Genomic DNA, 12320 nt, shown 5'->3' on the forward strand with positions numbered 1-12320 from the left:
GAATGCTCAAGGATTATTAAACATGAGTAAATTGAAGAGTGGTAGAATAGGAGACATACCTTAACAAAGCTTAATTATCACCCTGGAGCAGGAAACAATCTCTTTGCCTTTAAATGTGCCACTTCTCTGAACCTCATCAATGATAACAGCCATTCCCTCATAGTCTTTTTCACTCCAGTAATATGTGCATTTAGGCAGAAAGCATGTTCACCTACATTTTCTCTCTGCAGGTGCTTTACTCCATGAACTGTCTAATGACGGTGCTCATAAGCAGTTTGATCACTACCTCGAAGAGCTCATCTTGCCCATCATGGTGGGCTGTGCCAAGAAAGGAGAACGAGAGTGCCACATTGTTGTGCTGACGGATGAGGATTCTGTGGACTGGGATGAAGACCACCCTCCACCAATGGGGGAGGAATATTCCCAAAGTAGGAGCTTCTGGCATGGCGTAGATGTTTTCAGCAAGAAACTTGCTACCTGGAGTAGCAGCTTGATCCTAGAACCAATGTGAATATCAATGTTGAGCCTGTGATGAGCACACTCACCTGGATGACAAATCCCTAGTGACGCAGGTCTAGCCTTTATGCTGGGGAACACAGTGAATGTTGTTCACCATTCACTCTTTCTCTGGTGTCTCGTACTGTGTAAGATACTGAGGCAGCACATTAAATGATGGTGTCATTCTTCTCTTAATTCATTTTAAATCCTTTTGAATTGGTAATAAGTCAAAATTCAAAAAACATAAAAGGATATACACTAAAAAGTCTTATTCTCACTCCTGCCCCATCTATCCAGTTTTGCTTCTCAATTTCTTTTACAGGCTTCCAGGTATATTCAGTGTACATATATAACCAATTACTTGTTTTCTCCTCCTTTTTCAAATGTACCATATTATACAACTGTTCGGTGCCATGTGTTAACAAAAATCTTCGACATTCTGGGCCGGGCGCGGTAGCTCATGCCTGTAATCCCAGCACTTTGGGAGGCCGAGGCAGGCGAATCATGAGGTCAGGAGTTCAAGACCAGTCTGGCCAACATAGTGAAAGCCCATCTCTACTAAAAATACAAAAAATAAGCCAGGCATGGTGGCGTGCGCCTGTAGTCCCAGCTACTCAGGAGGCTGAGGCAGGAGAATCAGGTGAACCTGGGAGGCGGCGGTTGCAGTGAGCCGAGATCACGCCATTGCGCTCCAGCCCGGGCGACAGTGTGAGACTCCATCTCAAAAAAACAAAAGAAAAATCTTCAACATTCTTTTTTGTGGCTCTATAGTGTTCCTTTGCACAAATGTGCCATAATTGACTTAACCAGCCATTATTGGACGTTTAAACTATTGGCCAGGCGCAGTGGCTCATGCCTGTAATCCCAGCACTTTGGGAGGCCAAGGTGGGCTGATTGCTTGAGGTCAAGAGTTCGAGACCAGCCTTGCCAATATAGTGAAACCCCATCTCTATTAAAAATACAAAAATTAGCTGGGCGTCGTGGCTCATGCCTGTAATCCTAGCTACTCTGGAGGCTGAAACAGGAGAATCACTTGAACCCAGGAGGCGGAGGTTGCAGTGAGACAAGATCACACCACTGCACTTCAGCCTGAGTGACAGAGCAAGACTACGTCTCAAAAAAAAAAAAAAAAAAAAGATTAACCGGGCATGGTGGCCCATGCCTGTAATCCCAGCTACTCAGGAGGCTGAGAGGCAGGAGAATCATTTGAACCCAGGAGGCAGACGTTGCAGTGAGCCGAGATCATGCCATTGCACTACAGCCTGGGTAACAGAGCGAGACTCCGTTTCAAAAAAAAAAAAAAAAAAATTATACCTTTATAATTTTGATAGATGTTGCCAAATTATCCTCCATAAAATTTGTACCAATTTACACTCAGAAAACAATACATGACAGGTTTGTTTCCTACCCCCTCACCAAAACAGTGGCTTTTTCTTTTTTTTTTTTTTTTTTTTTTGAGACAGAGTCCCACCTCCTGGGTTCAAGTGATTCTCATGCCTCAACCTCCCAAGAAGCTGGGACTACAGGTGCGTGCCACCACGTCCGGCTAATTTTTGTATTATTAATAGAAACGGGGTTTCACCATGTTGGCCAGGCTGGTCTCAAATTCCTGACCTCAAATGATCCACCCGCCTCAGCCTCCCAAGTGCTGGGATTGCAGGCACCATGGCTGGCCAACAGTGGCTTCTTAAAAAATTTTTTTACAGATAGAATCTTGCTCTTTCACCCAGGCTGGAGAGCAGTGGTGCAATCATGGCTCACTGCAGCCTCAAACTCCTAGTCTTAAGTGATTCTCCCATCTCAGCCTCCAAGTAGCCTGGGCTGCAGGTGTGTGCCACCATGATTGGCTAATTTTTTTTTTAATTTTGTGTAGAAATGGGTTCTATGTTGCCTTGCCTAGGCTAGTCTCAAACTCCAGGCCTCAAGCCATCTTCCTGCATCTGCCCCCGAAAGTGTTGTGATTACAGGCGTGAGCCACTGTGCCTGGCCCCAAAACAGTGTTTTTAAAACTTTTATCTTTGCTACTTTCTTAGTAAGTAAAAAAAAACGGCAGAATCTCATGATTGGCATGAGTTTTAATTACATTTCTTATTTCATGAGTGAGGCTGAATTTTTTTTTTTTTTTTTGAGATGGTGTCTCCCTTCTCTTGGCCAGGCTGGAGTGCAATGGCGTGATCTTGGCTCACTGCAACTTCTGCCTCCAGGGTTCAAGTGCTTCTCCTGCCTCAGCCTCCCGAGTAGCTGGGATTACAGGCACCCACCACTATGCCTAATTTTTCTATTTTTAGTAGAGACGGGGTTTCACCATGTTAGTCAGGCTGGTCTCCAACTCCCAACCTCAACTGATCTGCCTGCCTCGGCCTCCCAAAGTGCTGGGTTACAGGTGTGAGCCACCACACCCAGCCAAAACCTTTTTAGTTTTCAAGAGCCATTGTAATTTCCTTTTTTGTTAATAGTGTTTGTGCCTTTTGCCCATTACAAAATCAGATTGTTAGTTTTTTACTTAGTGATTTGTGAAAGCTCTATTTGTGGCAGCTCTTTCTAATTAAGGAAATTAACCTTTTATGAGTTGCAAATATTTTCTTATTCAGTGTCTTTTTAGCTTTGGTAAACGGTTTAGGCTATGCAGAGATGTTGTATTTCTAAAATCATCAGTTTTTCTTTTATGGCTTCTAGGTTTAATGTTGTACCCAGAAAGTCCCCACCCTGAGACTATAAAAATTTCTCTTACGGTTTATGTATTATTTAACATTTAATCTTTGATCCATCTGGATTATTTGGGATTAGGAGTCAAGTATATCCTTCATTAGTTTGATTTTGTTAGCTTCTCTCTTTCCTCTTAGGTCTTTACTCCATGGCTAACCCTATATTTTTTCTTTTTCAGTTCTTTATAGCTCCAAGCTCTACAGATTCTTCAAATATATTGAGAATAGGGATGTTGCAAAAACAGTGTTAAAGGAACGGGGCCTAAAAAACATTCGCATTGGAATTGAAGGTAAAAAAAAAAAAAAAATCCCAGTCAACATTCAGGTTGGGTCTATTGCCACAGCTTACATCCTCAAAATTTAGCCTCCAGAGGCCTAGAAAATAGGCATACATGAAAACCACATTCTTACTCAAGTTTGAATGTTCCTGTTTTTTCCTCATTTTTCTTTTCATTTTATCTCCAGTTGAAAATGGTTCAAAGCAGCCACAGAAACAAGTTCGAGTTTACTACTTCAGGATAAAGAGCAGCAAGGGCAAAGGACAGTGGTAGGGAGATACAGCAGGGCTTGTGGGCTCACCAGATGAGAGCGTCGTTCTGCCACCAGTCTTGGTGAAGATGTTTCTGGTATCTGGAAGGGTCCTTCTGAAAAAATAGCTTGGGGACTCAAAATTAAAGATTATTCCGGCTGGGCACAGTTTGTTGTGCCTATGATCCCAGCACTTTGGGATACCAAGGTAATTGCACTCCAGCCTGGGCAATAAGAGTTAAACTTCATCTCAAAAAAAAAAAAAGATTATTCCATACTTTTGAGGAATGTCTGAATATATTAACAGAACTACTTTGAATGATCTTGAGCAGTGGCTCCCAACCTGTGGTCCCCATGGAAGGCTCTCAAGAGACTGATTCCTGGAGAGTGCTAAAGTCATTTGGTCTCTCCTACGTGGAGTGGATCTTTTTTTTTTTTTTTTTTTTTTTTGAGATGGAGTCTCACTCTGTCGCCCAGGTGGAGTGCGGTGGCACGATCTCAGCTCACTGCCAGCTCCGCCTCCTGGGTTCACGCCATTCTTCTGCCTCAGCCTCTCGAGTAGCTGGGACTACAGGCACCCGCAACCATGCCCGGCTAATTTCTTGTATTTTTAGTAGAGACGGTGTTTCACTTTGTTAGCCAGGATGGTCTCAATCTCCTGACCTCGTGATCCGCCGCCTCGGCCTCCCTAAGTGCTGGGATTACAGATGTGAGCCACGGCGCCTGGCCCCCTATGTGGATCTTTGTTTGACTCTTGTGCTTTGCTACTCTTGTTGCCTCATTTCTGCCCACAGAACCCATCAAAGCTTCACTGTGTCTGACTTAAGTTGAATTTAAAGTTGGAGGACTTTTTTTTTTAAGAGACAGGGTCTCACTCTTCTGCTTACACTGGAGTACAGTGACACAATCATGGCTCACTGCAGCCTTACCTTCCTGGGCTCAAGTGGTCCTCCTGCCTCAGCCTTCCAAGTAGCAGAGACCACAGGCATGCACCACTATGCTCCACTATTTTTTTTTAACCTTTTTTCTAAGAGATGAGGTCTCCCTCTGGCCCAGGCTGGTTTTGAACTCCTGGACTCAAGCGATCCTCCTGCCTTGGCCTCCCAAAGTGCTAGGATTACAGGTGTGAGCGACAGTGTCCAGCCTTGGAAGACATTTTTGAGATTATCTATTAAATCTCCTCCTACTCGGTCTTTCCCTTGTCTGTTAGGTGCATTTCCCAGAACAACCCATCAAACTGTTTTACCATTAGAACATTCTGCCATACATATTTAATAGATAACGGCCTCCCTCTCCTGCCTGCCTTCCAGTTAATAGCCTCTGAAGCTACTTTGACTATTTTTCCCATTTCCATGTGACAGCCTTTCACATATTTTAGGCAGCATCTCTGTTTTTTCTTTAGGCTAAACATTCCACATTTCCTTAACTGTTTCTCATATAGTATGCCCTCTAAGCAATAGAATTAAGAGGACTAGGGTAGCCATGCTTTGGCAGGACTTTTCTTCTATGGTATTGTTGCCAGCAACAACAGGTTCCTGAACTGGTAAGAGGCTTCTCTCCTCTTTCCATTAGAAGGGATAGAATTCTTGTTACTTCTCAGATTAGTCCCTTCTAGGGACAAGACCTACTAATCTGACCAGGAAGGAAATGAACATGTAGGTGACTGGGGCTGGGAAAGCATGGGACAGGGACTGGTCACTTCGCACATATTTTCCATGCTGTGATTTTGGGAGAAAACTGATGTGGTTAGGAAGGAGAAAGTATGGACACCAGAGTGAGCACAATTTGTTAGTCATGAGAATGGCCTTTTTCCATTGCAGGTTACCCTACCTGTAAAGAAAAAATTAAGAGAAGGCCTGGCGGCCGGTCTGAAGTCATCTATAATTATGTACAACGCCCCTTCATCCAGATGTCATGGGAAAAGGAAGAAGGGAAGAGTCGCCATGTGGATTTCCAGTGTGTTCGAAGCAAATCCCTCACGAATCTGGTAGCTGCTGGAGATGATGTCTTGGAGGACCAGGAGATATTAATGCATCACCCACCCCAAGTGGATGAACTTGACCGGCTAAATGCCCCACTTTCTCAGATGGCTTCTAACGACTTTCAGGATTAGGGCCAGCTGTGGGTCTACTCCTTGTTGGAGCCCATCTCACCTGGGATGCCTGCAGCCAGCCCTCCCTCGTGATTTGTCTCACCTTGAGTAGGAGACATGCTTCTCCCCTAACCTTTTCCTTTCTGCCATAATTAACATATGTCCTTTTCAGTAAGTCCATGCCTCTGGCAGGGGATGAAGAAGTACTCACTGGTAATTAGCTACCATCTTTGCAGCAGCCCTGGTAACTTGAAAAATTTGGGTCTGGTGCTGTTCATTGAGTCTTTGTGTAACTGCAAAAGCAGGAAAGGAAGTCAAGACTCCTGTTGCCTCGTGCTTAGCAAAGCAGTCCTTATCCTTTATACTCTGTTCTTGGGTTTTGTTTTTGTCTTGTTTTATACCAGGCAAATTGCTTAGTAGCAAAGGGACCAAACTGAAAAGGTGACAATCTCTAACTTCTAAAAGCAGACACCAATCGGATGCTCATTAGAGGTTAATGAAGATGCCATTCTTGGTGGCCTCTGCACCCAAATTGCATCTGGAAAGAACTAGGGTCTCATTCAGAATGTCCAAAAGGAAATTCTTAAGAGCTTAAATTCAGATTTGTGTCTCATTAATGCAGTGAACAATTCAAAACCACACAGATTCCTTGGCAGGAAGGATAATGGAATAACAGTGTTGATGAGACCTTTTTAGCTTCAAGGTTTCGGAGTCTAAACAAATGGATGATTCATTTGGAATGAAACTCACAATGCAAGTAGAAGGACCTCTCCAAATCAGGCCAGTTGGGTTATCCTGGCTTGGAATCTGGTGTGAAACCATAGGTCTTAACACTCTGGAGCAGCACATTGCTGTGGATATGTCCAGGAGACCTTAGATATGGCTTAAAGGCTTTCAAGATGAGGACAGAAATTGCTTACAATTGCTCAGTTTCTCAACAGAAAGACTCATAAGAGTGCCAGCATGGGGTACATGGAGTGAAGCTGGGTGGGAAGCATCATCTGCACAGTCCCTGTCCTAGTGCAGGACTTTTCTCTGTATGTTTTCATACCATGGGATTTTTGGATATCAGTGTATTTTGGTTCTTGAAATAGCCTAATAGCTGCTCACACATTGGGTAGGAATATTATACCAATGTCATCCCCAAAGGAAGGGTGAGCTGAATGGAAATTAAGCCCAGTCATTTTATTTGATCTATTAGCTCTGTTATCAGTGCATGATCACCCAGATCACCCTCCTCAGCCCACACAGTGCTGAACCATCTTCCCTCCTGTTCTCCATGGCTATTAATAGTATAGCTAAATTTAGAGTGCAGAGCCAGATATAAGTATTTTGGAATTATCTCCCAGTTTGTGGTAGAAGCTGACTGGAATACAGGTTGAGTATCTCTTATCCAAAATGCTAGGGACCAGAAAGGTTTCAGATTTTTTCAGATTTTGGAATACTTAACAGTTGAGCACCCCAAATCTGAAAGGCTTCTGAACGTCATGTCAGCACTCAAAAAAGTGGATTTTGGAGCACTTCAAATTTCGGATTTTTGGATTTGGGATGCTCATCCTGTGTAGGAGAGGCTACTCGATTCCATTTAATGACTGTCCTAGTCATAATCATCCAAAGATAAAAGCCAGGTAGATGTTGAAAGCTCTTTCCAGGGCTGAAAAAGTGTTCTTACGTTCTCTGCATGTGACTAGCATCACTGTGGAAATTAATGCTCTGTTCTTCACTAGAATGTAGTAAGTGGTTAAACTGAGCTATCCCCCACCTGATGACTATTGGCATCCATTTGCAAGGCCAATGGCCTGGATTAAGGGTTAGGATTATTTGTAGCTAGAAGGTAATTTTATTTCTGTGAAACTAATTGGCTCATATTTGAGGTTAGGTGTGGCCTTGACCTTACCAGTACATTTATACCCACTACCAGTTGACTAGCCCAGATAATTGTTAAATGGTGCTTCTTTTCTGCTTCTCAGTAGACTTCCATGCCATTACAAAGGAAATTTGAATTACCTAGTGTTTGTATATTCCATGATAACTATGTATAACTTCTGTTACACAGCTTATGTATTGTTAACATTTAAGTGTAAACCATGCCACAGCTAACACTTAAAAATGAAAACTAATTAGTTCTTGCTTAGGGAAAATGCCAGGTATGAAGTATGGCATATACTTGACACTGTCCTGTGTAACCCTTTACTTTGCTCAGGCTTTCAAGATTGAGTCTTTTTTCCCCCAAATTAGGTTAACATGCATTTGACCCCAACCTGTGGGGTTTGAGTAAGCTGGAAATCTGTGACGGTAGGCTTTCTAGTGTCACGAGGTGGTGGTGACTGAAGGAAAAGCTGGGATCACAGGTTCCTTCTGATGGAGAGGAAGGTTTATTTCTATGCCCCTCCCACCACCCTCCACCTAGAGCTCACCCAAGCCTGCTCCAGTCCCAGGGGCAGGCCATTCTGCAAAAGCAGGACCTCACAGAAACAAGGGCTGGGTTGAGGTCACCCCCTTCAGAGTTGGTTCCTGGCCAGATGGGTAAGAGGCATTTGTAATTTTAAAAATGTGAAACTTGGGTTTGGTGTTTTCTTCTAAGTGCCTAAATAAGCAAGCCAGGCTGTTGATATTTTAGCCAGAGAAATCGGCAAGCCAAGATTAACCCGAATCTGAAGTTTAGAATCTTGAGTTTGCATCTGCATCATATCATGCTGTTTTGATGAGGAAACATTTGCCACTGAGGAGTTGGAGGGAGGGCAAGACGACAGTGTTAAGTCAGATCATTTAATGGTTTCCCCTAAGCCCTGGAAAAATATTTGAAAGAATGGCAGCAAAAAGGTTAAGAAAGCAAGCCAGATTTACTGCACAATATGCAGTACCCAGTACTACTTTAAATCCCAAGAGAACAGTGTGATGTCTAATATATACAGGTCTATGAAAATACTGTGGAATAAGCCCAGGAAGGTTAGATGTGTTTGCAAATAAGTTGCCCAAAGGGTCCCCCTCTAAGTAAAACAAATATTCAGACCACAGGCTTTAATGTAAACTGTCAAAAAGTGGGATGTGGAGGATTTTTGTTAAGTGTCAATCGAAGTTAAAAAGCAAGGGTTTTTGGCCAGGCGTGGTGGCTCACGCCTGTAATCCCAGCACTTTGGGAGGCCGAGGCCGGCAAATCACCTAAGGTCAGGAGTTCGAGACCAGCCTGGCCAACATGGTGAAACCCCGTCTCTACTAAAAATACAAAAAAATTAGCCCGGTGTGGTGGCAAGTGCCTGTAGTCCCAGCTACTTGGGAGGCTGAGGCAGGAGAACTGCTTGAACCCGGGAGGTAGAGGTTGCAGTGAGCCACGATCATGCCACTGCACTCCAGCCTGGGCAACAGAGCAAGACTCCATCTCAAAAAAGAAAAAAAAAAATTAAAGGTTTTGGCTGGGTGCAGTGGCTCATGCCGGTAATCCCAGCACTTTGGGAGGCCAAGGTGGGAGGATCACTTGAGGTCAGGAGTTTCAGACTGGCCTGGGCAACGTAAAAAATTAAAAAAATAGCCAGGCATGGACATGGTAGTGCATACCTGTGGTCCCAGCCACTCAAGAGGCTGAGACAGGATGATTGCTTGAGCCCAGGAGGATGAGGCTGCAGTGAGCCATGATGACGCTACTGCACTCCAGCCTGGATGACAGGGCAAGACCCTGTCTCAATATTTTAAGTCAAGGGTTTGTAGTAATGTATTCAGTGCCACTTCTTGCCATCACTTTGCAATTATTGAAATGGGAATACTGAGCTCAGAAAGCAAATATGATGCTTTCATGGGAGATGGAGCCACATTTGTGTTCTGGGTGGGATCACTAGTGCAGGAGAACATTACATTTTCTTCTGAAGGCAAAATGCTTGTAGGTTTTGCCTCTACTTTGTATTTACTTTTAAAATTGCACTTGTTCACCTACCAGTGTTTACGAAATCCTGTATTTGGGATGCTTTTTCTATAATAAAATATTATAATTTGTGTGTCTGTTTTTTTTTTAGCAGAAAGTAAAATTAGAAATAAAGATGTTGGGCCAGGCGCGGTGGCTCACGCCTGTAATCCCAGTACTTTGGGAGGCCAAACAGGTGGATCACTTGAGGTCAGGAGTTCGAGACCAGCCTGGCCAAGGTGTGGCAAAACCCTATCTCTACTAAAAATACAAAAATTAGCCAGGCGTGGTGGCACATGCCTGTAGTCCCAGGTACTGGGGAGGCTGAGGCAGAAGAATCACTTGAACCTGTGAGGCAGAGGCTGCAGTGAGCCGAGATTGTGCCACTGCATTCCAGCCTGGGTGATAGAGCAAGACTCCGTCTTAAAAAAAAAAAAAGTAGGTGGGTCTTTGAAGACTTCACTACCAAGGTGGTAGGTGAAGCCACAGTATGGAGATCACCAAGAGATCACACGACTGAAGAGGGCAAAGGCACCAGCACCAACATTTAAGTGTGGAACTAATAAGAAGGAAGTCAGGGAGATGGGAGGAGAGTGAGTTTGTTTTAAAGGTTAACAGGTTAACATCTCTGGGATGCTTCACTAAGCTACTCACAACTCTGGGTTGGCTTGTCAAGGTCACATCAACACTAATGTAAATAAGGTGATGCTACATTCCATTAAGCCACTTGTTGTTGGGAATTCTCTCAAACTGATCTGCAATTCAGAACCACGGTGAGCAACCTGTTGCCTCACCAGACTGCCTGGAACTGAGCTTGAATGTTGCTTGGGCAAGGTGTTTTTTCTCTGAAAATGTGCGTGAAAAAGCATCACGAAGGCCGTTTTTGTCAGTGTTGGCTTTGATGGATCATTCCAGAGAAATATGCTCTGTAGGAAATGAAAATATCATTCACTGAATCCTTCTGAATTCAATTAAAAACACCACTTGGGTTACACAGAAGCCCAGGAGAACCAGGACAAGGCGATCTAAAAAAGTTCCAAGGAAATAATTCTGACAAAGAGCATTACCAACTGATGGCAGAGGGGGACTCTTACTAGGCTGTACAGATGAGTTTTCAAATTGGCAATCTGTTTTGCAGAACCTGAGTATTAATCCTGAAGGAACTCATGTGAATCTTAGTTTTGACTTTTTTTTTTTTTTCTTTTTGGAGACAGAGTCTCACTCTGTTACCCAGGCTGGAGTGCAGTGGCACAATCTTGGCTCATTGCCACCTCCACCTCCCAGGCTCAAGTGATTCTCCCACCTCAGACTCCCGAGCATCTGGGACTACAGACACGTGCCACCATGCTAATTTTTTGTATTTTTGGTAGAGGCAGGGTTTCGCCATGTTGCCCAGGTTGGTCTTGAACTAACTGGGCTCAAGCGATCCACTCACTTCAGCCTCCCAAAGTGCTGGGATTAAAGCGTGAGCCATCATGCCCAGCCCTTTGAAAGTAATTCTAAGAGCAACAATGGATCAAGCTGGTATCCACCCATCAACAGTCAGAAAAGCAGCCTGGGTAATTTAGATGCAGGGGAGAGGAGTACTAAATAAATGCCAATCAACCAAGCCAACTACAAAGAAACAGGTACTAAAGAAAATTGTGATGCATTCCTGAACTGGGAGACATCAAATGATATGATTTTGGTTTCATTTTAGTATGCAATTTTCTAACTACCCCAATGAGAGTAGGAAACAGAATTTCTGTCAACAGGATCGACACTGAGCCAGTGTTGCCCAACATGTTTCTTAGGATTCATAAGCCTTAGAAAGACATTACCCATTCTGGCTGCATTTAGCTTCCTCTGCCTGCAGTTTCTACTCTAGCTGGTCTTTGCCCCTCCCTTCTGGACTCCTTGAGGTGCTTTTCCCTACCCAGAAAGGGGCTAACAAGTGGGGCATATGGGACTCCTCCAGCATACAACATCTCAGAGACAGAACCCTGCTCTGATGGACACAGGGCTGAACAATTCCATCTTTTTTTTTTTTTTTTTTTTTTTTGAGACGGAGTCTCGCTCTATCACCCAGGCTGGAGTGCAATGACACGATCTCAGCTCACTGCAACCTCCGCCTCCCAGGTTCAAGCGATTCTCCTGCCTCAGCCTGCTGAGTAGCTGAGACTACAGGCTCGTGCCACCATGCCCAGCTAATTTTTGTATTTTTAGTAAAGACGGGGTTTCACTATGTTAGCCAGGATGGTCTCAATCTTTCCTGACCTTGTGATCCCCCTGCCTCGGCCTCCCAAAGTCCTAGGATTACAGGTGTGAGACACCACACCCAGCCAACAATTCCATCTTATGAGCTCATGAGATTCCTCGTTGACTGCAGGCTGCGAAAAAATGGGGCTGGGCTGTAAAAGGCTGTACAAAAGGTCCACCAGATGACAGCACTTTTGTCAGGATGTGTGTGCCCTTGGCCTTACTGTGAGGGGAGGGCCCACTGCCCTGCAACACTGAGGTGGGTGGAAGAAGCACATGCAGTCGGGGCAAGAGAAGTCTCTTCATATGGACAGTGATTCAGGAGACTAGCTCCCTAAGAACAAAAGTCAGTCCCAGCTTCCCT

General features: G+C 44.1%; 1 protein-coding gene across 13 annotated transcripts in view; it reads left to right on the forward strand.

The window, feature by feature from the left end:
- Positions 1-9810, forward strand: part of KCTD20 (potassium channel tetramerization domain containing 20) — a 48142-nt gene extending 38332 nt beyond the window's left edge. For 12 of the 13 annotated variants that reach the window (NR_104480.2, NR_104481.2, XM_011514398.4 and 9 more), the window contains 3 exons: positions 231-428; positions 3383-3493; positions 5552-9810. Coding sequence is in view for 11 of the 13 variants with exons in the window: in XM_011514398.4 (XP_011512700.1) it covers positions 231-428; positions 3383-3493; positions 5552-5844 (602 nt within the window). In the remaining 2 variants the exon portion in view is untranslated. Of the gene's footprint in view, positions 1-230; positions 508-3382; positions 3494-5551 lie in introns of those variants that run through there. The other variant, XM_047418378.1, reaches the window with a different exon arrangement.
- The last annotated feature ends 2510 nt before the right edge of the window (positions 9811-12320 follow it).

The sequence above is a fragment of the Homo sapiens genome, chromosome 6, assembly GCF_000001405.40.
Source record: "Homo sapiens chromosome 6, GRCh38.p14 Primary Assembly".
NCBI lineage: Eukaryota > Metazoa > Chordata > Mammalia > Primates > Hominidae > Homo > Homo sapiens.